At 37.6% G+C, this 27,271-nt stretch overlaps 1 long non-coding RNA gene across 1 annotated transcript, besides 1 other annotated feature; it reads left to right on the top strand.

The window, feature by feature from the left end:
- Window positions 1–24,902, top strand: LOC124902744 (uncharacterized). Its single transcript, XR_007062874.1, has 2 exons — window positions 1–223; window positions 24,749–24,902. It is a non-coding gene; the product is annotated as an uncharacterized LOC124902744 (long non-coding RNA).
- Window positions 25,734–26,933: an enhancer, noted in NCBI's record as "MED14-independent group 3 enhancer chr11:106448190-106449389 (GRCh37/hg19 assembly coordinates)". NCBI's record gives its function as "activates an origin of replication core promoter dependent on BRD2, BRD4, P300/CBP and CDK7 cofactors, and independent of MED14, by STARR-seq in HCT116 cells {active_cell/tissue: HCT116}" and the evidence as "EXISTENCE:reporter gene assay evidence [ECO:0000049][PMID:35650434]".

Below are 27,271 nucleotides of genomic sequence, written 5' to 3'. Positions count from 1 at the left end.
AAGCAGCATCTTTCACCACCAGGAGGGAGTCATCGCATCTGAGGGTTCAGGTTCTCAATGCCAATTTCTCAGCAGTGGTAGGTCAGGTCTTTGAAGCTCCATCCTAAAATTGCAGGGCTCTAAATAACCCAGATGAAACCTATTGGGATGAATTCACAACTGTCTGCAAGAGAAAGCTCCCGCTGACGTCAATAGGAGTTTATCCTGAGGGCCTAAGAATTAGGTGAGTACTAATAAATTTTGCTGAGTTATTTCAATCTGATCTGAAGGCTTTAGCTTTTTCCTTTTCAAGAGTGGGTTGGAAAAGAGGGGGAGGTGACTATGTGGGAACACTTTGATGTTCCCAATGTTGTACTTGGAGATTTTACTTAGAAAGTTTAAGTTAGAAGAAACTTAACACCGATTTTTATTTCTTTTTGTGCGTTGACATCTCATCTCGCTTCTTAACCCCTTCTAGTCTCCTTGCAGTTCTCTTGCATGATGTCAATTTTCAATGATGATGAGAATTACTTCTGCAAATGACACTTAGATTTAAAAGCATGGGGCATTGGCTGTAGCCTATTAATTATTGTTTTGGGGTCTGGGCATAAATTTATGTCGTTTGTTCATTGTTCTTAAGAAATCAGCTTATTTTTTGACAGGGTGAGTATAAGCATGCAAAGTGATTAATTTTAGCAGAACCATTACATTAGGCAAAATCTTTTAGATCAAGAGAAAGGAAAAGAAGTTTGTAATACAAATGAAATGCTATGGCTTTGGAAATGCATAATATTTTTTCAAAACCATAAACATATGAAGAAGCCATTCTGCATTCACTCAGTTGGAAATTATTGTACAGACTAAAATTCATCATTGAAAAAATTTTTTTTCCAATAAAACTTACAACTCATTGTCTAAATGAGAACACTCTGACAATGAGAGGACACTATTAATAATTATACTGGAACAATATGTACAAACCAGTATACCTCACAAACAAGGCCCTAGTTATCACCATTTTCTCACAAAAGATCAAAATTGAAAATAGTTTTTCTCTAGTTTTCCAAACAAAATAATTAAAATGTTCCCCATTTACTTCATAGAATTGACTTCAAACATTACATTTCCCTTAATATAGACAACTTGAGATTCATCCGGTGTCAGCTTTGAAGTTAGTGTTTGATTCTCTGTAATATCTTCTAGTTACTTGGCCTTACTAATTTTATTGTTTTACGTTTGATTATTTTATGGTGAAATATTATAGATATATAAAAACATATGTAAAACAAGTCTATTTTAATTATTGTAAAGAAAACATCTATATAACAACCTCCTGGGTAAAGAGATGGAATACTCTTATTACCCCAATGACCCTGTGAGGCATTTCCCAATAGCAATATTTTCTCATCCCTGAAAGGAAACCACTACTCATATTAAGGGAATTTACTTAATTTTTAAACTAGACTTACCCCGAAGTATGAATTCCTAACCAATATGGTTTAGTCTTGCTCATTTTACTTAAAATTTATATAAGTGAAATCATATTGTATGTGTTTTGTGTATGTGTCTGGCTTTTTCTGTTCCATATTACGTTTTAAATAATCATCCATACTGTGTAGGCTGGGTGCGGTGACTCACGCCTGTAATCCCTGCACTTTGGGAGGCCGAGGCAGGTGGATCCCATGAGGTCAGGCATTCGAGACCCGCCTGACCAACATGGTGAAATCCTGTCTCCACTAAAAATACAAAAAACTAGCTGGGTGTGGTGGTGCACGCCTATAATCCCAGCTACTCGGAAGGCTGAGGCAGGAGAATCGCTTGAACCTGGGAGGTAGAGGTTGCAGTGAGCCGAGATGGTGCCACTGCACTCCAGCCTGGTCAACAGAGCCAGGCTCTTTCTCAAAAATAACTAAAATAAAATAAAATATAGAATCATCCATACTGTGTATATAGGTGTATTTATTCATTGTTATTGCTATATGTCATTTTATTGTCTGAACAAATTGTTTTTATTCTATTGCTGGTAGATATTTGGATTGTTTCCCGGTTGGGGTCATTAAAAATAATACTGCTAAGAAACATTCTTATCCATGTCTCCTGTTGCATTAAAACATGAATTCTGTAATAAATTTACTGAGCACATAAATTGCTAGGTAGGGTATGCATAACTTTAATTTTAGCACCTAAGGCTAAGGAGTTTTGCAAAGTGATCCTATGGAATGGTTCCCACACTTGTATTATCAGCTTCACCTGGGAACTTGTTAGAAATGCAAATCACCCTGCCAGCAGAATCAGAAACTCTGGGGGTGGAGCCTAGCAATCTGTGTTTTAATAAGCCTTCTAGATTATCCTGATGTAAGTTCAAGAGCAGTGGTTCCTAAACATTCCTGCACATTAGAATTATCTGGGGATCTTTTAAAAAATACCGATGCCTAGCTCCCTCGTTCCAGCTATTCTACTTTAATTGGTATGAGGTATGACCGGGGCATCAGGATTGAGAGAGTAGTTCTCAGTCTCAGTTGTTCAATTAAAATCACCTTGTGAGCCTTCAAAAGAAAAAATTAAACACCCTGCCCCTGACAAAGATTCAGATATAATTGTCCTTAGGGGATGAGGAGCTCAGGCATTGATCTTTGCTTGCTTGTTTGAGTTTGTTTTGTTTCCTATTAAAATAGTTCCCTAGGCAGTTTTAATATGCAACCAGGATGCATACCACTGCCTTAGAGTAGGGTAGCCAGATAATATCATTATAAATATCCTAGTCTTTTCCAATTATCTCTCTCCTCTCTACTCCCCTTTCATCAACCTCTATCACTTTCTTCAATACAGTTCAGTTCAGTTAAAGCAAAAGAGAGAGAAATATGATTCAACTAAATCATACAAATGTGTGAACAATGTATAGCCTCAGAGTCCCAGAGTTATTTCCTATTTCATACTGAATTGTTATTGAAAATGAATCTCTAATTGGCAGAATTTCAGGTAGAATAAAAAACAGGAATAAAGAATGATTTGCAGCAAAAAGAGCTATTCAGCACTACTTAAATGGCATAAAGCATGTTCAATTTGAGAATGTGATAACGTTTCTTTTTTCCTTTCAGGTCTCCAGTTCTAATTTGTTTTGTAATCTGGTAGACATTATTTTACCTCTCCGTTATCTATTTCCCACTGAAAGATGTCCCTATTCTCTGCAAAATGGCATTTGATGAAACATTTTGATAATGTTATAAAGTACTTTGGACATCTTAGTAGAAAAATTATATAAATTAAATCTATTTCAGAAAGATACATGAGTATCCATTTTTGCCATTTAAATCTTATTTCTGAGTAATTATTTAAAGAATGAATTAAAAGAAAAACAACCAGGCTGATTTTCAGAAAAGTCAAAAAATTGTTTTTACCTGTTACTTAGGGTATCTCTTAAATTCAAAATAGCTTATCCTATTTCTGACCACTCTGTGATCCGTGTAATGTCTGAAGCCAAAGATACAGAGTTCTATTTTCAGTATGTTTGTCCCAAGAACCTTCCATGTGTTCTACGTCACCTCACAGCAACGGTGAGAAATATATTCAATCATTTTTAAAATGCTTGTTTCACAGTCCCTGAATTAACCAGTACCTATCTACATGAGACAGCACCCAAGATTCTCAACCACATTAAACTAAGTAAGCAGGAGGTCATGAACTACAACCTAACTCAGTACATGAACAAACTGAAACCTAACTTCAGAGTTTATTTTGTGTAATGGATAGCAGGGTCTTAGACATTCACAAACAGCTTCAGCTAGTTACAGGCAGCCAACTGTTCAGAACATGTCCAAATGAGGCAAACAGCTAGCTGTAACCAATCAATCAAATTATTCCTGTACTTTACTTCTAGTGTTCAACCTATACTGTACTGTTCATGCTGAGGAGTGGAGGCTCTCTGAACCCCAATTTCTCTACATCCTTATTAACACATGCTATTCTGGTTTTATGTTTGTTGGTTGGTTTGTTTTTGATAATAGCTATCCTAATGGATGTGAAGTGGTTTTCATTTGCATTTTTCTAATGGCTAGCAATACTGGACATCTTTTCATGTATTTATTGGCCATTTGTATATCTCTTTTGAAGAAATGTCTACTCAAATTATCTACCCATTAAAAAATTGAGTTGCTTTTGTTGCTGAATTGTAAGACTTTTAGAAAATATATTCTACATATTAATTATTTGTCAAATACGTAATTTGCAAACATTTTCTCCCATTCCATGGTTGCCTTTTCACTCTGTTGGTTTTGTCGTTTGATGCACAGAAGTTATAAATTTTCGTGTAGTCCTATGTAATCATTTTTTGTCGTTGCCTATGCTTTTAGTGTTACATCCACCAAATCATTGCCAAATCTAATGTCACGAAGCCTTTCTCCTAGGTTTTCATCTAAGAGTTTTGCAGTTTTAGCTCTTACATTTAGGTATTAAATTCATTTTGAGTTAATGTTTATGTATCATGAAAGATAAGGGTCCAAATTCATTTTTTCACACGATTTTCAATACCCAGTTTTCCCAGAACCACTTTTTGAAAAGACTGCTTTACCCCCATTAAATGATCTTGGCATCGTCATTGAAAACTATTTGATTATATGTGCAAGGATTTATTTTTGGGCTTCCTATTTTATTCCATTTGCTTATATGTCAATACTTATGCCAGTATCACTACTTTAATTACTGTAGCTTTGTAGTTGTTGGAGTTCAAAAACACTATCCCAAAATGAAGGCCTCAGCAGTAGCCTCAGAAACAAAAGATTTTTATCTGACCTACCCCTACCCTCCTCTCAGTCCCATCCTCCCCCAAGGCTGGCCATAGAAACTAGAACCCCTCTTTTTCAAGCTGGGTTGTAGAAACCAGAACCCCTTTTCCTGAAAAGCAGCCATAAAACCTAAACATATTCCATGTAAAAATTGACCATAAAGAAATTATTTGACCTGCCTTGTTTGAATGTAGATCTTAAGACCCCCATTCCAGAGAGGACTCTGCCCTCACACCCAGAAGGAAGACATACATGCTCACAGAGGCCAAAAGAATCTAGATGGACAGGCTTTGCTGGATTTCCCCACTCAGTCTATTCACATTAAATCATGGACTTTTTGTCCAATCATAGTTCTACATGGCTGTCCATACTTTGTTGAATGTAAGCATAACAATGAACAATTTCCCCTGTATCTTTATGTCTTCATTCTGAAGACACCTGTGTATGCACATTAAATAAATCTGTATGCCTTTTCTCCTACTAATCAATCTGTTTCATGTCAGCGATTTTCAGTGAACCTTTAGTGGAACAAGGGCCTTGGTGCCCACATAGTAGATACAGATATCAGAAAGTGTGAGCCCTCTGACTTTCTTCTTTCTCAATATTGTTTTAGCTATTTGGGATCCCTTGAGATCACATATGACTTTGAGGATAAGTTTATCTACTTATGCCAAAAACATTGTTGGAATTTTGATAGGGATTACTTTGAATTTGTGGATCTCCTTGGGTAGTATTGACAGCTTAACAATATTAAGTCTTCCAATATATGAACATGAGATACCTTTCCATTTATTTATGTCTTTAATTTCTTTCAGCAGTATTTTGTAGTTTTTGGCGTATAACCCTGGTGCCCCCTTAGTTAAGTTTATTCCTATTTTATTCTTTTTGATGCTAGTGTAAATGTAATTGTTTTCTTAATTTTCTTTTTGGATTGTTCATTGTCTGTGTATAGAAATAAAACTAATTTTTGTGTGTTGAGTTTGCATCCTGAACTTTCCTAAATTCATGCATTATTTCTAACAGTTTTGCTAACTGTTTTTGTGTCTATGTCAAATATTTAAGGTTGACTACATGTAGGATTTTGTTCTCTGTGAATGTAGATAACTTCCCTTCTTTCTTTCCAATTTGGGTGAATTTTGTTTATTTTTCTTGCCTAATTGCTGTGGTTAGAACTTTCAATATTAGGTTACATAGAAGTGGCAAAAGCAGGCATCTGTATCTTATTCCTAATTTTAGTGGAAACGTTTTTAGTCTTACACCATTAAGCATGATGCTGTATGAGTAGCGTCAGAAAACGTAAAACACACAAGTAAATTTAACAAAATGCATGAAAAGTTGCAAAACATTTTTGAGAGAAATTTTAAAAGACACAAACAAATGTAGAGCCATATCATGGTCATGGATTGAAAGACATTTAAAACTTTTGTATTTCAAGTTTATATCAAAAGAGAATGTAAACAGATACTGAGCTCTAATTAATGGTATACATACCAAAGTATTTAGAGGGCTGTATAGTAATGTCTGCAATTTACTTTGAAATGCATTAAAAAAGAGAGATGATTAAAGAAATAGTGCTATGGCTTGGATATAGTTTGTCCCCACCAAAACTCATGTTGAAATTACATCCCCAATGTGGTCATATTAGAAGGTGGCATCTAGTGGGAGGTGTTTGGGTCATGGGGCAGATCCCTCACGAATGGCTTGGTAGTGAGTTCTCACTCTCATGAGACTGGATTAGTTCTTGAGGGAATGTTTCCCCGGAGAGTTGGTTGTTAAAAAGCCAAGACACTCCTGGGATTTTGTCTCTTTACATGTGTCACTTTCCTTTCGAACTTCTCTGCCATGTTCTGATGCACCATAGAAGCCCTCTCCAGAAGCTAGTGCCATGCCTCCGAACTTTCCAACCTGCAGAACCAGAGCCAAATAAACCTCTTCTCTTTATAAATTACCCAGTCTCAAGTATTCTGTTACAGCAGCACAAAATGGTCCAAGACAGGTGGATAAATAGATAGATAAATGCTAAAACAAGTACTATTAAATGTTAGTGGTAGAATCGAAGTGGTGAGTATATGGATGTTTACTGTAAAATGCATTCAACATTACCACATATTTGAAAGTTTTCATAATAAAATGTTTTATATGCATGAGCATATAAGTTAATTTATGCTTGAATATGCGTAGAATATCTTTGGAAGGATATCTGAAAAACCACTAACTGTGGTTGCCTCCTAGGGATATACTGGGTGGCTGGAATGCCAGGGTTGCACACACGGGCTTCTTTTAAACTGTATACCTCTTTGTACTTCTGAATATATACCACATGTAAGTGTGACATGTATAAATGGAAGAAAGAATATCTCTGAGACCTCTGTACCCTCACACACTCTTTCTTCTACCCTATATTTTCTTCATTTATGAAATTCTACTATATAGAGAATTCTACTATATATATAGAATTCTATATATAGTAGAATTCTACTGTATTTTACATATATGTTAGAATTTCATATATTACTTTTTCTTCATAATATATGAAATTCTATATACTATATATAAAATCTATAATATATAAAAATAATATAGTCGAAATAATATATGAAATACTATAGTATCTATATTTTATATATATACACATATATATATAGAGAGAGAGAGACAGAGAGAGAGAGGGGGTCATTTTTCACTGTAAGTTTTGTGAAGGCAGGGACTTTGTCTTGTTCACCATTGTATCATCAGTCTTGAGTACAGGGTATGGAGGAGCTCAGTTATAACAAAAAACAAAACCAAAACTTGACCAGTTGGGATTCTCAGGCAGGCAGGAGGAAGTATGCAGTCACTGAGTGGGCAGGCCAAGGCAGGGCAGCCAAAGGGTACTGGCCATCAGGGTGACTGTTGAAATGCGAGAGAGGGCCATGGAGGAGGAAAGTGAGAAGAAAACAAACATAGGATGGTGTATTAGTCTGTTCTCACGCTGCTAATAAAGATATACCAGAGACTGGGTAATTTATAAAGGAAAGAGGTTTAATTGACTCACAGTTCCACATGGCTGGGGAGGCTTCACAGTCATGGCGGAAAGTGAAAAGCGCATATTACATGGCGGCCAGCAAAGAAGAGAAATGAGAGCCAAGTGAAAGGGGTTTCCCCTTAAAACTCATCAGATCTCGTAAGACTTAGTAACTAACAGGAGCACAGTATGGAGGAAACTTCCCCCATGATTCATTTATCTCCCACTGGGTCCCTCCAACAACACAAGGGAATTATGGGAGCTACAATTTAAGATGAGATTTGGGTGGGGGCACCGCCACATTATATTAGATGGTTTTACTATCTCTAAAGTTAGAATTCAATTTTTATTTCCTTTTGATCTTCACATTATGTCTACATTAGGGCACATATTGAGCATAGCTTGAGATCCTAAATATCCTACTGAGGGCTTTGGCATTTTTTTCTCCCTCAGAACTCAGATCACTATTGATGCTCATTATCACATGTTAACTCTCTGGGCTGCTGACAAAGCTACATTTAAAATCTGCACAATGGAAATCTTGGGGTTCAGAAAACGACAGCCCCAAATATAATGCTTTGACATGCTGAACTGAAGAAGCAGCCTCAAGCTCTCTCGCCAACATTTCCCTGCCTCCCTGTCTCTCTGATTCTCTTTCTTGAAGCACTGAGAGGAAATCTACCTGGAATTTCTTTATCTGAGAAAGTTCCTTTCCAAAAGAAATACAATTGGCTTAGGACCCCCTCCCTAAGATCTCATTCAATAACCGGGAAAGATTAACCACTGGAGAACTGGAGAACAGAAGTTCTCCAAGAGTTGTCACCTTGCCTAGATAGGCTTTTTATCTATTCTTCTGAGAGATTCTTCTCAGAGACTATTCTAATCTCTGCAAGATTACCAGGGAGGATTTATCTGCATAATAAGATAATTTTTGTTCACAGTAAAGTTATGCACTGCCCCTGCCCCCGCCACCTTTCTTCCACCTCCCCCAGAGCACAGAAGAACTTTGTCCCAGGCCATTATTCTTTGGGCTCATTAATTTCCTACATCCCCATCCCCCACCCCTCTACAAAAAAAGGGTATATAAACATCTGGAACTCATTTGAGTTATTGGGTAGCCATTCTACTGAAATTCCCTCCATGCTATGTACCTTAAATTTGGTATGCCTTTTTTCTCCTATTAACCTGTCTGTTGTCAGTTCACTTTCCATGAACCTTCAGAGTGAAAGAGAAGCTTTCCCTTGGCCACTACAGATAGTATTCCCTTAGGATTCCTATCTCGGGCCTCAGTTGAAATAGTCAAATAATTTTTCTCCTTCTTTCCTACAGGACGTTTTTGAGTTGAATATAGCCAAAATCCAAAGTTCTTTTTGCTTCACAGTTTCATTCATTCCAACCCCATACTGCCCTCAAAATCTGGGATTACTTCAAGCAGCTCCACAGCCCATGGGTGGGAAGACTCTTGTTCTCTTGCTGGCTAAGCGTGAAGGCAAAGTTTTGATTTCTTTGACAACCTGAGTTTATTTTTAGAGATATCAGGATGACTCACCTGTCTTGACATTTGTTTCTATAAAAACTAACTTTAAAATATCACATTTCCAACTCTGCACAAAGAGCAAGAGGAAAGCTATAAAAGCAATTGAACCTGAAGAAGACTCCACTTGAGAGTTGCTTTCATCCTGCCTTGTCTGTCCTCCCGCCCTTTCACATCCTGAGATTGATATGCCTTTTCTGACCACCCCCCACAGAGCCACATCCTGCAGGTGTTTGTGTATGTGTGATCTGACAACAGACATCTAGGGGAGGGAGACCAGTTACATAAGCCGAAGTAAAAGAAACTAGTGTTTGCATTGCCGCCTCCACCCATGAATTGGTGGCTACAATATTAGTAACAGTTAAATTACACAAATAATGTATAAAATACCAAAGAAATATTAAAAATACTTCTTTCAAGGATATACAATACAGAAAAAATAATATTTCTAATATAATATTTAGTACACCATACCTTCTTTTTATTTCATTTAATCTTCTCAGGGGAAGTTGACAGGTTCAAAACAAAGAGGATAACATAAAGAATATGAGGTAACTGATAAGCATATGATAACTGATTTCTATATGAAGCAGAAGAAGAAAAATGCAGGCTCCAAAGTGAATTGTCCAGATTGTGTGCATTTGGACAGAAATGTACAAAAATGCCAACATATTTACAAAATGTGAAGTTTATTGTGAAGTTGGGATTATAAGGATTTTCTTTTCTCTGTCAAACATTTATAATTTCCATGTATTTAAAAAAATTAAAAAGTACAATAATCTTGAAAAATGCTATTTTATTAGTATTCTTTAAATGAATATGTGTTTGGGTATATATATTTAAGATGTATTTACTTTTAAAGTTTCAGAATTCCTATATTGGTTGCATTAAAGGACACAAGGCAGCCAATAACCCAAATGGTATAAATAGAAATCCACCAGCAGGGATAAGTGTGCCAAAGTGATATTATAGGACCCATTTGGGGGAGCACAAGAATGGGTTCTGGCTGGCAGACAAATGCAATAAGTCTATAACTGCTGAGAAAGATCTCTTCATATATACAAATTAACTAGAGAATAAGAGGAATAACTCAACTAGAATTCTAATCTGGGAACAATGACCCCACGGGAACCAGCCAATATGTTTGAAATATGTACCAAGCATTTATCACGCACTAAGTATGCATGTCTGAGCTAAGTTCAATGTGAGAAACACACCAGACATAATAAAATGTGCCAGTCTTTAAGAAATAATACAGATAGCCACTCTTCACATTTTAAAAGATGTGAGGCAATCGTATATGCTAATGGAGCTCAGATAAAGGGAAACCAGCAGGGAACTTGAAAAACTCTAGATGAAAGAAGGACTTGGACTGAATCTTGAGTGATGAGCAAAAGAAGGAAGAGTATGAGAAGTGAGAAGGTCAATCTGTCTTGTTACAGATGAACAGCCAGAGGCTTTGAAGTAAATTGCATTTTAGTGTATTTTAATGTTTCCAAAGAATATTCACAAATTCTCAAAAAATGTTATAAATGAATGGATGAATAAGTGAGTGAGTGAACAGGTACATTTTGAAGTGAATTGTGTGCATTTAACATGGTGGTGAGGGTTTGAAACGTGTGGACCCTCTGCTTCTGACACTACTTACTTCCAGAAGGGTCAAGTCATGAGTATTAAAGTTTATCACTCTATCTACTCTTAGGATCAGAAATTTTTAAAGTCCCAGTTCTTCAGCATCTGATTCTAAAGATCTTTTCCCAGGTTGCTTTTATTCTTTATTTTAATTGCCTCCTTATCTTTCTATTCTTTCTCTATTCCTGCTTGGTTGGGTAACTCATTTTCAGTTTCTGTTCCTGGCTCTGGCCAGGAACTCCCTATGGACACTGCATTCAGTAATACTCCCATTGCCTCTTGTGCTGCAAAAGTGGAGCAGGGACAATACCATCAGTCTTCTCAAAGACCTCCAGGACCCAGTCCTCAGGGTATTATCTGGAAAGGAATTCCCTGAATTGGGCTCTGAATCTAGTACAGTGACCCTGTGGTGAGTCTGCTGCGATAGAAAGCTGGCTTGCAGTTTGATTGGCCCATTATTTAATTCTAGGTTTTAGAATTCGGTGGCATACAAGAAAGTTACAGTCTCTGCCCTCACGAAATTAACTTCAAAATAGGAAAATAGGTAGACGATAATAATGAGATTGGAGTAAAATGAAAGAAGTCATTAATGGATTTATTTATTTATTTATTTTACTGTATTTTTTTTTTTGAGATGCTGTCTCATTCTGTCAGTACAGTGGCATGATCTCAGCTCACTGCAACCTCTGCCACATGGGTTCATGTGATTCTCCTGCCTCAGCCCCCGAGTAGCTGGGATTACAGGCACCTGGCACTATGCCTAGCTAATTTTTATATTTTTAGTAAAGACAGGTTTCACCACATTGGCAAGGCTGGTCTCGAACTTCTGACCTCAAATGGTCCGCCTGCCTTGGCCTCACAAAGTGCTGGGATTACAGGCGTTTACGACCACAGATTTTAGGTTTGACAGTAATATCACATTTTTGTGTTAAGAGACTATTCTTGCAACTGTATGGAGATGACTTCAGGGAGGTAGGAGTAAACACTGAGTGGTCAGTTAGGAGACATTAAAGTAGACCAGAGGAGAAAAGATGGTAGTTAAGACAGACATAGTGAACATGGAGAAGTGGGTGTCTTCAAGATGTACGTGGAAAGTACATTTGACAGGACTTGTTAATGCAACGGATGTAGGTGAAAGACAGCAAGGAAGCTGATTCGCACTGGAGAATCTTGGGAATCAGTGGAGTTCTAGGGATCCACTGGCTTTGTATTGAATTTGACTCACAGCAGAGAGGCAAGAGGACCTGAATATTAATATTGAAACCAGTTACCTTCAACTTAGCAAGTTTTTGAGTGTAACTTGTTGCCCTAATCTAGGTAAGCCAGATCTCGCCTGTTGATTGGTGGTATTTCCAATTAGAAGTTTGTTCAAAGCTGTGAACATAGAGTGCACAGATTCAAGACCACCTGTTGGGTGGAATGCAACTCCTTTATAAGGTCTTATAGATTTTGCTGCAGCCAGCAGCCAAACACAGATGAGACAATTATACATCAAAGGAAGTGGTTGGTGTTTCTCCGAAAGAGGTAATTCTTCAGGAAAGGTTATGGCAATTCCTGTTCTTTGAATTATTTCCACTAATGACTTAAAAATAGAAGTGGCTGGGTACAGTGGCTCATGCCTCTAATTCCGGCACTACAGGAGGCCAAGGTGGGTGGATCACTTGAGGCCTGGAGTTAGAGACCAGCCTGGCCAACATGGTGAAACCTCATCTCTACTAAAAATACGGAAATTAGCTGGGTGTGGTGGCGTGTGCCTGTAGTCCCAGCTACTGAGGAGGCTGAGGCAGGAGAATAGCTTGAACTAAGGAAGCAGAGGTTGCAGTGAGCCGAGATTATGCCACTGAACTCCAGCCTGGGCAACAGAGAGAGACCCTGCCTCAAAAACAAACAAACACCAAGAATTACAGGAAGCCCCTTGAAAGGGCAGGATAAATACCATCTATCTTGGTCTATGAAAATGATTTGGCACCCTAACTGACTTTACTCATTTGTTCTGCCAGGGTATTATGTCCAACCCATCATTTCTGCTGAGAGATCATAGCTAAACTTACAGATATTGGTATACTGGTGTCCATTACAGATCCTTACCCTTTGGGCCTTGACAAACCTACAACAAAATTCTCTTATGTGTACTTGGGATACTGCATTGTGTCAGAAAGACCCCAAATATTTAATAGCTAATGGAAGTTCCTGCCTTACAAGTTTCATGTAACTAGCCCAGTATATAAGGGCACTGAGACTTGATTCCTGAACTCATTTATGTTCAAACTTAACTTTCTTCTTAAGAACTGAAGACATAACCAGTGTGCTTTTTAAAGGGCATATTACTCTTAAAATAATTATCTCTGCAAATATACTGCAATGAAGACTAATCTGTGGGGCTCCAAATTAAATATATCCTTGTTCCGTTGGAACTTAGTTAGTGATTCTGGAGAATGGATGCTGCCTTTGGAGGATAATCAGCAGGGAAGCCATTTTAGGTTTGGAAACCAGGAGAAGAGGAGGAGAAAGAAAAAAAGAATCATTAAGAAACTCAGATTTATCTTAGGCAAGGTGATCCAGTTTCCAGGGCTTTTCCTCCAATGATCTATGACATAGGAAGATAATAGTCATAGGACAGGTGATCCTGCTAAAAAAAGCCTTTTCTGTCTTGTGATTTTGTATTCTGCCAGGAAAAATGTGATTGTCTTTGATACTGCTGAAGCCTTGGAGACCTATCTGTGCTGTCATGGATTTCTAGCCTCACTGAAACATGACTTATTGTTCTTCTCTCTCTGTTCAAGCAGGACCAAGAGTTTCCTTCAACAAATATTTATCAACTATTATCAAAGCCAAATAGAAAAATCAGTGCCAAAGCTAAAATGATCCATAAGGCATAGGCATATCAACTATTATCAAAGCCAAACAGAAAAATCAGTGCCAAAGCTAAAATGATCCATAAGGCATAGGCCCTGTCTTTGAGGAAATCAGTTGATTCAATCTGATACTCAAGGTTTTCCTCATGCCTAAGAACTATAAATATTTTTTCTCAATTTATATTTTTAGTGTTGTAGTGGCAGCCAGAGTAAGTTTATTTTCACTTGGATACTTCACCTGCAGTTAGGATGTATGGCCAGTGGGTCAGTGGTGGTACCATGGCTATTTTATGCATGGAGTGAGTAACAAAATCTGAGCTCTTGTCTGCTATACATCAATGCTAGCCTCCAACAGTGGCCCTGAATCCAGGGTCTTCCAGCTTGCGAATCTCTGGATTAGTTTCTATTAAATGCAATGGTGAGGCTCCAGTGAGTAGGAGCAGGAAACTGGTCATTTCTGTCCATCATATTGTATCAATAAAGATATAGGTAGAACATTATATTTTATGGATATAAGATTGAAAGTAAAGGATCTGCATTACAAGCTATTGGTTTTAGCACCTAATTTCTTCAGGTACCATTTTTTGTCAAGGAGGTTTATAAAATAAATTATTGATACAAGAAGACATGTACAGCTCTACATTTACAGTGGAAAACTTCAGCACATTTCTCTCAGTAACACAAAGAACAAGACCAAAAAAGTCACTAAGACTATAGAATGCTTCAATATAATACTTAACAAATTTGACCTAATTGACTACATACAATATAATAACCACATACAAAGCTCTAGAACACTCATTCTTATTAAATGTATGTAAAATATTTACTGAAATTAAAAATATTGTAGGCTATAAAGCAAGTCGCAGCAGATTTAGAAGGGCTCAAATCACACTAAATATGTTTCCTGACCACAGTGGAATAATGTTAGAAATAATAAAAAAGATAACTGAAAAATTCTCTTATATTTGGAAATTTTAAAATGCACTTTTAAATAACCCATGAGTCAATGAAGAAATCATAATGAAAAGTAGAAAATATTTTGAACCAAATAATAATGAAAATACTACATATGAAAATTTATGGAATATAGCTAAATACATGCCCAAAGAGAAAATTATACACTTAGGTTTATATATTATAAATGACAATCAATAATCTCAGCATCTGAATCAAGTAGTTCGACAAAGAACAGAATATTAACCCAAAGAAAATAAGAGAAATAATAAAGAAAAGAAATTTAGAAATTGAAAACAATACTACAAGGAAAAGGTGAAAACTTTATGGCTATACATTTGGTTGGCATGGAGAAAAATCCTATAAAGAATACAACTCATCAAACTTACCTTTCCCCACAGAAAAAAGAAAATCAGATTAGTTTTATCTATGAAAGAAATTGTATACATTATTCAAAACCTTCCCCAAAAGAAACTCCATGCTCAGATGTTTTCTACTAGAAGTTTGGTGATTTCTAACAGCTAAAGACATGACATTAATCTTGCAAAAATTATTCTAGAGAAAAAATTGGAATGGAATACTTACCATGATGTTTTGTGAGATCTGTGTAATCTTGATATCAAAACCTAGCAGATACATTTCAAAAGGACAATTACAGGTAGTATTTCCCATGCAAACAGCTTTAACAATCTTAAACAAAACATGAACAAGCCAAATCTAAGGATATATTAAAAGTCTAAAACATTTTTAAGAGATTTATAGAAGACCTAAATAAATTGAGATTATACAGTATTCATTGATGAGAATGGTCAATATAATAGATTCGATATAATCTTTTCAAAATCTCAGGTATATGTGTGTAAATTGGCAAGCTATTTCTAATATATACATGTAAACTAAGCATCCAGCAATAACTAAGACGATGTTAAAGATGAGCGCATAGAGAAGACACCGTATGTCATCAATCAAGACTTACTATAAACTACATTAATTAAGTCATGATATTAGTGTTAGGATACACAAATAGACCAACGATTTAGAATAGATATACTAGAAACAGGTCCATACATGTACAAACTTTTGAACTATAAAAAAGTACATACTTCAGGGTTATAGGGTAAGATTATCCATTCAAAAAACAGTGCTGGAACACCTAGTTATCTGTGGGTGTGTGTGTGTGTGTGTGTGTGTGTGTGTGTATGTGTGTGTGTGTGCGCATGCACTCACGCGCATGCACATATGTGTGGCAGGTGATGAGGAACTGACCTGACTCCTAGTTCATACATAAATGTAAATTCCAGATGAAATTAGATCCAAACAAGAAAGATAAAAAAGTTTCCAGAAGCTATTAGAAGATAACATAAAATATAATTTTTATGAACTTGGTTTAGGTTAAGATTTTGTAGTATAAAAGCATTGATTTAACTGTGATAAAATTGAAATAATTCTGTTAATAAAATTGAAATAATTCTGTTAATAAAAATATTCCATTAAAAGAGTGAAAAGACAAATCCACAGATTGGAATATGATTTCATACTTCCATCCAACTGAAGGCTCATTTTCAAAATATATAAAGAATTTCTAGAAATCTATAGAAAAAATAGTGAAATCTTGGCAAAACAAAACAAAAACAAAACTTGAAGAGGAATTCCAAAAAAGAAGCACATCCTAAGAGCCAATGAGTATTGAAAAAGTACTTACCCTCCTTAATCATTGGAGGAAAACAAATTAACACCTAATGAGACTCCACTATACATACATCAAAATGACTACAATTAAAAAGACTGGCAATGTCAAGTGTTTATGAAAATGTGGAGTATCTCAAACCTCATACATTGCGGATGGGAATATAAATTTTTACAGCCACTTTGGAAAACTTTTCAGTAGTATTTGATGAAATTGAACATATACATATTCTTTGACCCAGATATTTCAGTCTTAGGAATCTTGAATAGAAATGCATATATATGTGCAATCATAATATCCTCAAATAGGATATAATTAATATGTCTATAAATAGTAAATAAAAAATAAATTATAGCATATTAGGGAGTATATTTTATAACAATGAAAATGAATAAATTTCAGTTTCATGCAACAGTATAAATTTCACATTTAACAAAAGATGCCACACATAAAATAATATATAGTAAATGAGTCAATTTATATAGTGTTCAGAAATAGACAGTCCATGGAGTTAGAAGAACTAAGGGGGTTACTGCAGTATTATATCCAGGAAAACTATTAAGATCTTTTTCAGAATGATAGCAACTGAGAAAAAAAAAAAGACTGGTAATGAAAAAGACTATAAAAATTAAACAATTTTTAGGTTTACTTGAATTTATATTTTTCCTGCACTGCATTTTTTATAGATCTTCACCAATACATTCATCAGGAATGTCCAATGATATGTTAATAAACCATATCTCAAAAAAAAAAAAGACCCTGAATTGTAGCATTCATTAATTTCCCATGCTCCCATTATGACCAATTTTTACCAATGGGATTGCTGAACCCAGAGTTGGGAAGAGCTACACAAAACTGGTGCTCCTGAACATGTAGAAACTGCTAACCACTGAATAGAACCCAGAATTAATAATATATGTAAGAACTCACAAGTGATATATTTTAATTTAAAATTAATATGTTTTCAATGCAACTAGGTTAGAATATATTTTGTGCTGTTTGTAACAAAAGAGTTTGTCAAGAAAATTCAGTTAAACAATATTGAGGGAATATTCCATGGTACAGTGAAAAAGGCAAAGTACTGGTAGATAAAACCATAAGGCAAGTGCTACTTTTCAAGTGAAGGTAACATTCTCCATGTTTATAATATTTCTAGGAACATACCTGCAAGTTTTTCCCATTCACTGCCAGGTAATTTTTGCAGGCATGACTTAATTAACAATAACTATATGTTCTGTTAACAACTTATTTCCTTTTTGGGTTTTAATTCATTGTATATAATGTTTCATGTACCCTTTCTGTTAGTGTGTATTATGCTTTTTTTTTTTTTTTTTGAGACGGAGTCTCACCCTGTCACCCAGACTGGAGTGCAGTGACGCCATCTCCGCTCACTACAAACTCTGCCTCCCTGATTCATGCCATTCTCCTCCCTCAGCCTCCCAAGTAGCTGGGTCTACAGGTGCCCGCCACCACACCTGGCTAATTTTTTGTATTTTTAGTAGACACGGGGTTTCACCATGTTAGCCAGGATGGTCTCGATCTCCTGACCTCGTGATCTGCCCGCCTCGGCCTCCCAACATGCTGGGATTACAGGTGTGAGCCACTGTGACCAGCCGTGTGTATTATTCTTAATGGCAGAGAAGAGAGAAGTAAAATAAGGACTACTTTATTTCTCCACAATGTTTTTCTTTGTAAAATTATAGCTTTACTCAAGCAATGGCCCTGTCTCATCTCATTGATCTGAATGTAGCTCTAAGAATTTGCATGCAAAAAGATTCAGAATAGCCAAAGCTATCCTGAGCAAAAAGAACAAACTGGAAGAATCACACTACCTGACTTCTAATTACACTACAGAGCTATAGTAACCAAAACAGCATGGTACTGGCAGAAAAACAGATCCATAGACCAACTGAACAGAACAGATAACCCAGAAGCAAATTTATACACTTACAGTGAACTCGTTTTTGACAAAGGTGCCAAGAACATACACTGGAGAAAGGGCAGTCTCTTCAGTAGATGGTGCTGGAAAAACTGGAAATCTGTATGAAGAAGAATAGAACTTTACCCTTATGTCTCACCATATACAAAAATCAAAACAGATTACAGACTTAAATCTAAGACCTCAAACTGTGAAACTACTACAAGATAACACTGGGGAAGCTCTCCAGGACACTGACCTGGGCAAAAATTTCTTGAGTAATATCCCACAAGTACAGGAAACCAAGCAAAAATGAACAAATGGAATCACATCAAGTTAAAAAGCTTCTGCACATCACAGGAATAATCAACACAGTGAGATGAAGTCCCATGGAATGGGGGAAAATATTTGCAAATAACCCATCTGACAAGGGATTAATAACCTGAATATATAAAGAGCTCAAACAACTCTATAGGAAAAAATCTAATAATCTGATCAAAAAACAGGCTAAAGATTTGAACAGACATTTCTCAAAAAGAAGATATACAAATGGCAAACAGGCATATGAAAAGGTGCTCAACATCACTGATCGCTAGAGAAATGCAAATCAAAACTACAGTGAAATGTCATCTCACCCCAGTTAAAATGGCTTTTATCCAAAAATTCAAGCAATAACAAATGCTGGCAAGGGTGTGGAGAAAAGAGAACTCTAGTACCCTGTTGGTGAAAATCTAAATTAGTACAACCATGCGGCTTCTTCTCTTTCATTGTTCAGCCAGCAGGAGGGAGTGTTACAGCTCTTTTACTCCTGCTGCCAGCAGCTCAGTGAGCAGGAGCACTACAGTTCTTTTACTGTCACAGTTCTGCGAGTTCTGGGTTCTTGTCCTGCAACCAAGAGGAATAAGGTATGTGGACATGGGAGACTGAGTAAGGCAGAGAATTTTATTGAGCGACATAAAGAAAGCTCTCAGCATCGAGAGAGAACCTGAAAGTGGGTCGCCATCTGTGAAACTGAGTCCAGGATTTTTATAGGTTTAGAATGGGGGAGTGCAGGCCGGGTGTAGTGGCTCACGCCTGTAATCCCAACACTTTGGGTGGCTGAGGTGGTAGGTCACCTGAGGTCAGGAGTTCGAGACCAGCCTGGCCAACATGGTGAAACCTTGTCTCTACTAAAAATACAAAAAAATAGCCGGGTGTGGTGGTGGTTGCCTGTAATCCCAGCTACTCTGGAGGCTGAGGCAGGAGAGTCACTTGAATCTGGGAGGCAGAGGTTGTAGTGAGCTGAGATCGTGCCATTGCACTCCAGCCTGGGCAACAAGAGCAAAACTTGGTCTCAAAAACAAACAAACAGAAAAACAGAATGGGGGAGTGCATGCTGATTGGTCGATGGGTGGTCTTGGAAAAAGCACCATTTGGTTGGTTAAAAGCCATCACTCAGAAGGAACCAATAGAGAGAGAGTGGGTAAGATGGGGATGGAAGTTCTCCCTCTGGTCATGGGCTTTATCTGGAACTGGCAGCTTGGTTTTCAGATTTTAAACTGTCCTTGGTTTGAAAGTTGGGTTTCACTGGGGATCCATCCCTGTCTGCGTAGGAATTTTCCTGTCTCCTGTCGCTATCACAACCACTATGGAGAAGTTTGGGGGTTCCTCAAAAATTAAAAATAGAACCACGATTCAGTGACCCCACTGCTGGTACCTACCAAAAGAAAGGTAATCAATATATGGAAGAGATACCTGAATTCTTATGTTTGTTGCACCACTGTTTACAATAGCTAAGATTTTGAAGCAACCTAAGTGTTCATCGATAGACAGATGGAGACAGACAACCTCTAATTTACATGTGGTACACATACACAGTGGAGGATTTTGCAGACATAAAAAAATGTGATACTTTCATTTGCAATAACGTGGATGGAACCGTATGTAGTTCATTATGTTAAGTGAAATAAGTCAGGCACAGAAAGATAAATATCACATGTTAACACTTATTTGTGGGATCTAAAATTCAAAACAATTGAACTCAGGGAGATAGAGAATAGACGGTTGGCTACCAGAGGCTAGAAAGGGTAGTGAGGTTACAAGGGGGAAGTGGGGGATGATTAATGAGTACAAATATATGTATACTTAGAAAGAATAAATAAGACAGTATTTGATAGCACAACAGGGTGACTATAGCCAATAATAATTTAATTGTACATTTGAAAATAACTAAAAGAGTATAATTAGACTGTGTGTAACACAAAGAACAAATGCTTGCGGGGACAGATCCCCATTTTCCATGATGTGATTATTACTTATTGCTGGTATCAAAGTATCTCATGTACTCCATAAATATATAAACCTACTATGTACTCAAAAATTTTTTTTAAAAAATTAATTTAAAAAGCATGTGTTTGTACATCATCTTTATACTTTTTATAGCTCAGCTTATATCAGTGTCTGCCACAGAGGTACATACTTAGTATGCATTCAATAAAATAAAATATTTATCAGAATAAATACATAAAAAATGATGAATAAATAAATGGATTCTAGGTTTTAGTTTTCATATTATTACAATATAATAATACACTTATGACACTTTGCTGTACATTTTCTTAGCCAGCTCTAACCCATCTTCTATATATGGTATATTAAAATCTGAGCACTTTGGACTCCTTACTACTCAGCAACTCTCCTTTCCAAAAAGGCTATTAATATGCAACTGTTTATAGAAATATGGACTTTAGAGACCCTTCCAGTATACTGAGATATTTTCCATTTTTGAATTTTTGCCTCTGAGAACACATAGAATCTATCCTCTTTATTTTGTCAAAATCTACTTTTCTAAAGTGCAGACAAGTGGTTTAGCAAATTAGGGGTCAGAGGAAGTCACTCTGTTACAGCATTAAAGAATTCCCTTAGATCTCCAGTCCTGGCTTTTTATGAACATCACCTGTAAAAATCTTTACCAAGTCCTGGGACTCACCTTCAGAGATTTGCATTCAGTAAATCTGGCCCAGAAGCTTGGCAATTGCGTTTTTAAAAGGTGATTGAAATGTACATCCTGGGCTAGAGCAGAGCTTCTCAAATTGTACGTGCATTTATTTGCATCATGTGGAGTTCTTGTTAAAGTGCAAATTCTGATTCAGGGGTTCTAGGGTGGAGCCCAAGATTCTAAATTTCTAGCAAGATCCTGAGTGATACAGCTACTGCTTCCATGAACTGCACTTTGCAAGCAAAGGTCTAAATTAAATATACGTCATCTTATTGGCTTGAATTGGTGGGATATGATTGCATGTGTTGTGACTGCTGAGAGAATTGCTATTTAAAATTTACATGTAAGACTACTTGGGAGTTTTTGTGCATATATAGCAATGTCTGAAGGCAGAGCATTTGAGCAAATAAGTATATCTCTGTTTTATTTTAATCACTTTTCAAGAAAAAACAACAACAGATGCATGGAGAGATAAATATATGCATGTCAAACTAATACATTTAGTTATTATGAATGTAAATAAATATTTATTAAATATTTCAGTGTCCTTTCTTTGTTAAGATATAATTGCTACCACCCTGTAGTCTCAGTGGTTTCACTAAGGTAGTTTGTTTTTTTCCTTCAGAATATTAGTCTTACTTACTGCATGCAATTCATTGACTAACAAGCAAGCTTTTGAGAGCAGAGCACTTAACAATTTTGGTTGGAGGAGAAAGAAGGAAATTATTATAAGCAGCCAAAATTAATAAAGCTTCTTAGAATTTAAATAGCATCAACAAAAATCATGAAAAAAGAATTTGTATTTATTTACTAATTGTCTTAGTTGGAGATACAATTACAGGTAATTGCTGGAAGTAACAGAATGGAGAGTGTTGAAAGAGTTTCCCAGTTATCTCCCAGAAACTTGCAGACAATGAATTGTAAGAAGGACTGGGGAATAAACCTCTAATTTACATGCGTTACAGCATACCAATTAGATAAGCGGTAGAAATACTTCATACCTGGACCCTCTCCTTGCAGAAAAGGTGGGTAGGGGGAAGAGGTGGGGCAGAAATTCATCTTTTATCCTTGGCATTTGGAACATTGATTTATATACATGGATTTATAATACATTTCTAGAAAAACTGACTAGTAATTAATTATCAGATTTGTCTTGTTTCAGTCTGTTTCCCATATCCATGCATTAAATAAGGTCCTGTGCTGGGTCTGCATACTTATTGACAACACATTTCTTGTTCAGCTACAGCAAGGAAAAGAATGAAAAAAAAAGCAAAAGCAGGTAACAATTATTGAGAGCTCACTGTATACCAAGCTCTGTACTGTTAAATTAAGTTTGGCCTAAAGGTTTCTCCATACATGGTGAACTGTGACTTAATTGGATGTGTAAGGTGACTGGAACCTATTTGTGTAAAAAGTATCTGAGTCTCAGCCAACCAAGGGCTGCCAACTGTTCAAAGCAGTTCAAATAAGGCAAACGCCCAGCTGTAACCAGTCCAGCTGTTTCTGTCCCTCACTTAAAGTTTCTGTGTCGCTTTCCTTTTTGTCCAGCGATGTTATACGACCACATAGCTGACCTGGAGTCACTCTGAACCTGTCTGGTTCTCGGGGCTGTCAGATTCGCAAATTGTTCTTCTCTCAGTTAAACTCTGTTAAATTTAATTTGTCTAAAGTTTTTCTTTTAATGCTATTAATGCTTTACATTCATTGTAATTTCTAGTACTTATAACAACCCTAATAAGATAGTGAGGAGTAGAGTATCAGAAGATCCATGAGTAAAAGGTAAGTATTAGATCAGAGAAAGGGGCTCTACTGTGGGGACAGTTGGAGGCAGACATTTAGTTTTGCCAGAAAAACAACATTAATTCTGTTTTCTTCCCCAGAAAAGCATGTCACTTTGTTGATACTCATCGTGGCTCACAAACACATTGGGTTTGGAATACCTGTAAATATTTTAATTTCTAACCACTCTTTTCCCTGGACATTTACATCAGTCTGTTAAGTCATGACAGATTTGAACTTTATCTAATCCCTGTAATCCCAGGAAACAGCAACAGTTAAAAAAATATATATCTTCCTAACCTTTGTGTTCCTGGAAAAAAACTTACTGCCAGGATCCAGTCCTCCCGATGTGACTTAGGTAAATTAAGACTTCTTAATAGCCCCTTGCTTCCTTAGGACAAGGCCAGACACAGATCCTCCAAATTTCCATTTTTGGCCTCATAAGTGATTAGCTAAATTGTTTTTCTCCATTGGTCAAACAAAATGTTAGTTTACTTGACTTGGCCAAACTTAAACTTGTTTCCTCCCCATAGGACCTGAACATTGACTCTAGCCTGATCCAGCAGCATAAAGCAGAACTGTTCCTCCTGAAGCACCTCCCAAGCATCATAGCTGATCTCAGGAAAACCATTCTCTGTCCTACTCCCTGAACCTGGTTCTTTCTAGCCTTGTTTACCCTGCCATATAAGAGAAAGGCCTTTTTCTGTCTGACCTTTAAGATACTTGCAGATCTTATAGTCAGAGTTCTCTCTATTGCAAGAGAGAGAACTATCTCCATATCTTTTCAAATAAACTTCCTACTTATTTCGGTCTGGATTTGTTTTCATTTAACATTAGTCTCCCTGTCTCCATGAACACCTCTTAGAACTATCTTCCATGCTTCCACTAGCAGGACTGCCTGTTACACAACTTCAGAGGGCATTATTTACACAGCAGTAGAGGTAAATGGTATCCCCTAGAATTGTACAAGGTATAATGTCTGTAGCTACACATGACAACACTAGCTGTAGGGGTAGAGTCTTTAAATCTCAAAACTGACCACTTTACTCCTCTACTTAAAATACATTAATACTCTCAAGTTCCAGTAGAAAAACCTCCAAACTCCCTGATTTTACATGCAGGGACTTTTCCCATTTGGTTCTTTCTTTTTTCTATAATCTTCCACCACACACATTCTATATCTTCTAACAATGTCAGAATCCACCATTCCTGGTCAATTCTTTCTATCATTGAACAGACTGTTCCTTCAAGCTAAAATGGCTATTCCCTTCATTGTAACTGGTACATCCTATTTGTCACTCAAGTTGAAATCCAAGCGTCACCACCACTGAGAAGCCTTTCTCTAATCCTCTCTTGGACTTAGAGCTGGATACTCCTAACTCTGACATTTCACCTCTGAAAATATGTAATTTAGCAATTACATTGCCTAACACTGACTTATTTTCAAGATCATCTGCTATGGCTTGACTGTGTCCCCTACATAATTCAGATGTTGAAACTTAATGGCCAATGTGATGGTATTAAGAGATGGGTTCTTTAAGAGATGATTAGGTCATGAGGACTCCTCCCCTTATGAATGGAATTAAGGCCCCTATAACAGAGGCTTCATTCAACTCTCTTGCTCTTCTGCCTTCTGCCATTTAAGGACACATCATTGCTCCCTTCTGGAGGATGCAGCCACAAGCTCCCATCTTGGAAGCAGAGAGAAGCCTTCACCAGACAATGAGCCTGCCAGTGCCTGTATCTTGGATTTCCCAGCCTTCAACTCTGAGAAATAAATTTCGGTTCTTTATAAATTACCCAGTCTCAAGTATTTTGTTACAACAGCACAAACAGACTCTCCCTCAAGTTACTGCAAACTTGTTAAAGACAGCGAGTGAGTTAGGAGATAAAGTATCTATGTAGAGGCAGCAGATGTGAATGTGGACTGGCTGGGTTACACAAAGTTCAACAGTTTGTCACGAGACTCCACAAAGCATACGCATATTAGACTTTAATAAAGGTAAAGGATCTGGTACCTAAGGCGAAAGAAAATGCAGCCAAGTAATGGAGATGCAATAGATTTAGAAATACAGCTCTCCAAGTTCTTTCTTAGTTGTGGCAAATGTATTTCACCTCTAGATAATGGACTACCAAGAAATTGTTATATTTAACCCAAGTTGAATTGGGTATAATTCATCAGTCTCTTCATCCATAAACAATATAAACAAATTGACTATGGGTGCCACCAGGACAATTTTAAAATTAAATAGCACATAATAAATTATTAGCTAGCTCCCTCCCTCCCCTTATTGTGGGGCAGAAGTCAGTATTGGACTTCCATGCATCCCCAAAAAGAAGCAAAAAGCTGCCCTATTCCAGTTCTAATGTATCTCTGTTTTAAACACCTAGATATATTTCTTTCTTGCCATGTCATCTTTGAAAAGTCAAACTTTCTGCTACAGTTTTCTTGTCTATAGCATTTATACAAAAATAGGCTGGGCTCAGTGGTTCACACCTGTAATCCCAGCACTTTGGGAGGCCAAGGCGGGTGGATCACCTGAGGCCACGAGCTCAAGACCAGCCTGGCCAACATGGCAGAACCCCGTCTCTACTAAAAATACAAAAATTAGCCAAGCATGGTGGTGTGTGCCTGTAATCCCCAGCTACTTGGGAGGTTGAGACAGGAGAATCACTTGAACCCAGGGAGGCAGAGGTTGCAGTGAGCCGAGGTCACGCCACTGCACTCTAGCCTGGGAGACAGAGTGAGACTCTGTCACACGAAAAAATAAAAGACAGAGGGAAGATCATGTAAAGGCCCAGAGAGAACATGACCATCTGCAAGCCAAGGAGAGAGACCTCAGGTGAAACCCCTCTGCTAACATCTTGATCCCAGACTTTCAACAGCTAGAACTGGCTGCTCAGATCCCATTATGGATGGTCTGTGGAGTAGCTGAAACAGAGTTATTGGACACCTCCAGATTGACTGCAAGAACAAACTAGCTACCCTGACAGGACCAACAGACCCTCTGAAGGAAGCAGACTGCTCCTGCAGGACCTGGGAGACACTCCAAATACTCTGGGAGGCATAAAGCCTCAGGCAAGTTTTCAAGACCTTCTCACCTTCCACCTGGAAACAGACTCGGGGCTGTTGCGGGAGGCATGGTGGGAGTGAGACCAGCCCTTCAGTTTGCTTGGATGCTGGGTGAGTCCTGTGACTGCCAGCTTTCCCCCACTTCCCTGACAACCTGCATGACTCAGCAGAGGCAGCCATAATCCTCCCAGGGACACAACTCCAGTGACCTGGGAATCTCACTCCCATACCCATAGCAACTGTAGCAAGACCCGCCCAAGGAGAGTCTGAGGTCAGACATACCTAGCCCCGCTCCCACCTGATGGTCCTTCCCTATCCTCCATGGTAGTGGAAGACAAAGGGCATATAATCCTGGGAGTTCTAGGGCCATGCCCACCGCTGGTCCCTTTCCACGATACTACAGCTAATGCTTTCTAGAAAGTGCCACCTCCTGGCAGGAGGCCAACCAGCACAAAAATAGAGCGTTAAACCACCAAAGCTAAGGACCCTCACAGAGTCCATTGCACCCTCTGCCACCTCCACTGGAACAGGTGCTGGTAGCCGTGACTGAGAGACCTGTGCGTGTTCACATCACAGGACTCTGTGCAGACAACACCCAGTACCATCCCAGAGCCGAGTGGATTCTCTGGGTGGCTAGACCAAGAAGAGAGACAACCATCACTGCAGTTTGGCTCACAGGAAGCCACAACCACAGGAAAATGGGGAGGGCACTACATCAAGGGAACACCCCGTGGGACAAAAGAATCTGAACAACAGCCTTCAGCTCTAGACATTTCCTCTGACACAGCCTACCCAAATGAGAAGGAACCAGAAAACCAATTCTGGTAATATGACAAACCAAGGTTCTTAAACACCCCCCCAAAATGAAACTAGTTCACCAGCAGTGGATCTACACCAAAAAGAAATCCCTGATTTACCTGAAAAAGAATTCAGGGGGTTAGTTATTAAGCTAATCAGGGAGGGACAAGAGAAAGGCGAAGCCCAGTGCAAGGAAACCCAAAAAATGATACAAGAAGTGAAGGGAGAAATATTGAAGGAAATAGATAGCTTAAAGAAAAAACAATAAAAAATTCTAGAAACTTTAGATACACTTTT

Source organism: Homo sapiens, chromosome 11 (genome assembly GCF_000001405.40).
Source record: "Homo sapiens chromosome 11, GRCh38.p14 Primary Assembly".
Classification (NCBI taxonomy): Eukaryota; Metazoa; Chordata; class Mammalia; order Primates; family Hominidae; genus Homo; species Homo sapiens.
This window is presented reverse-complemented; position numbering and strand designations above follow the sequence as displayed.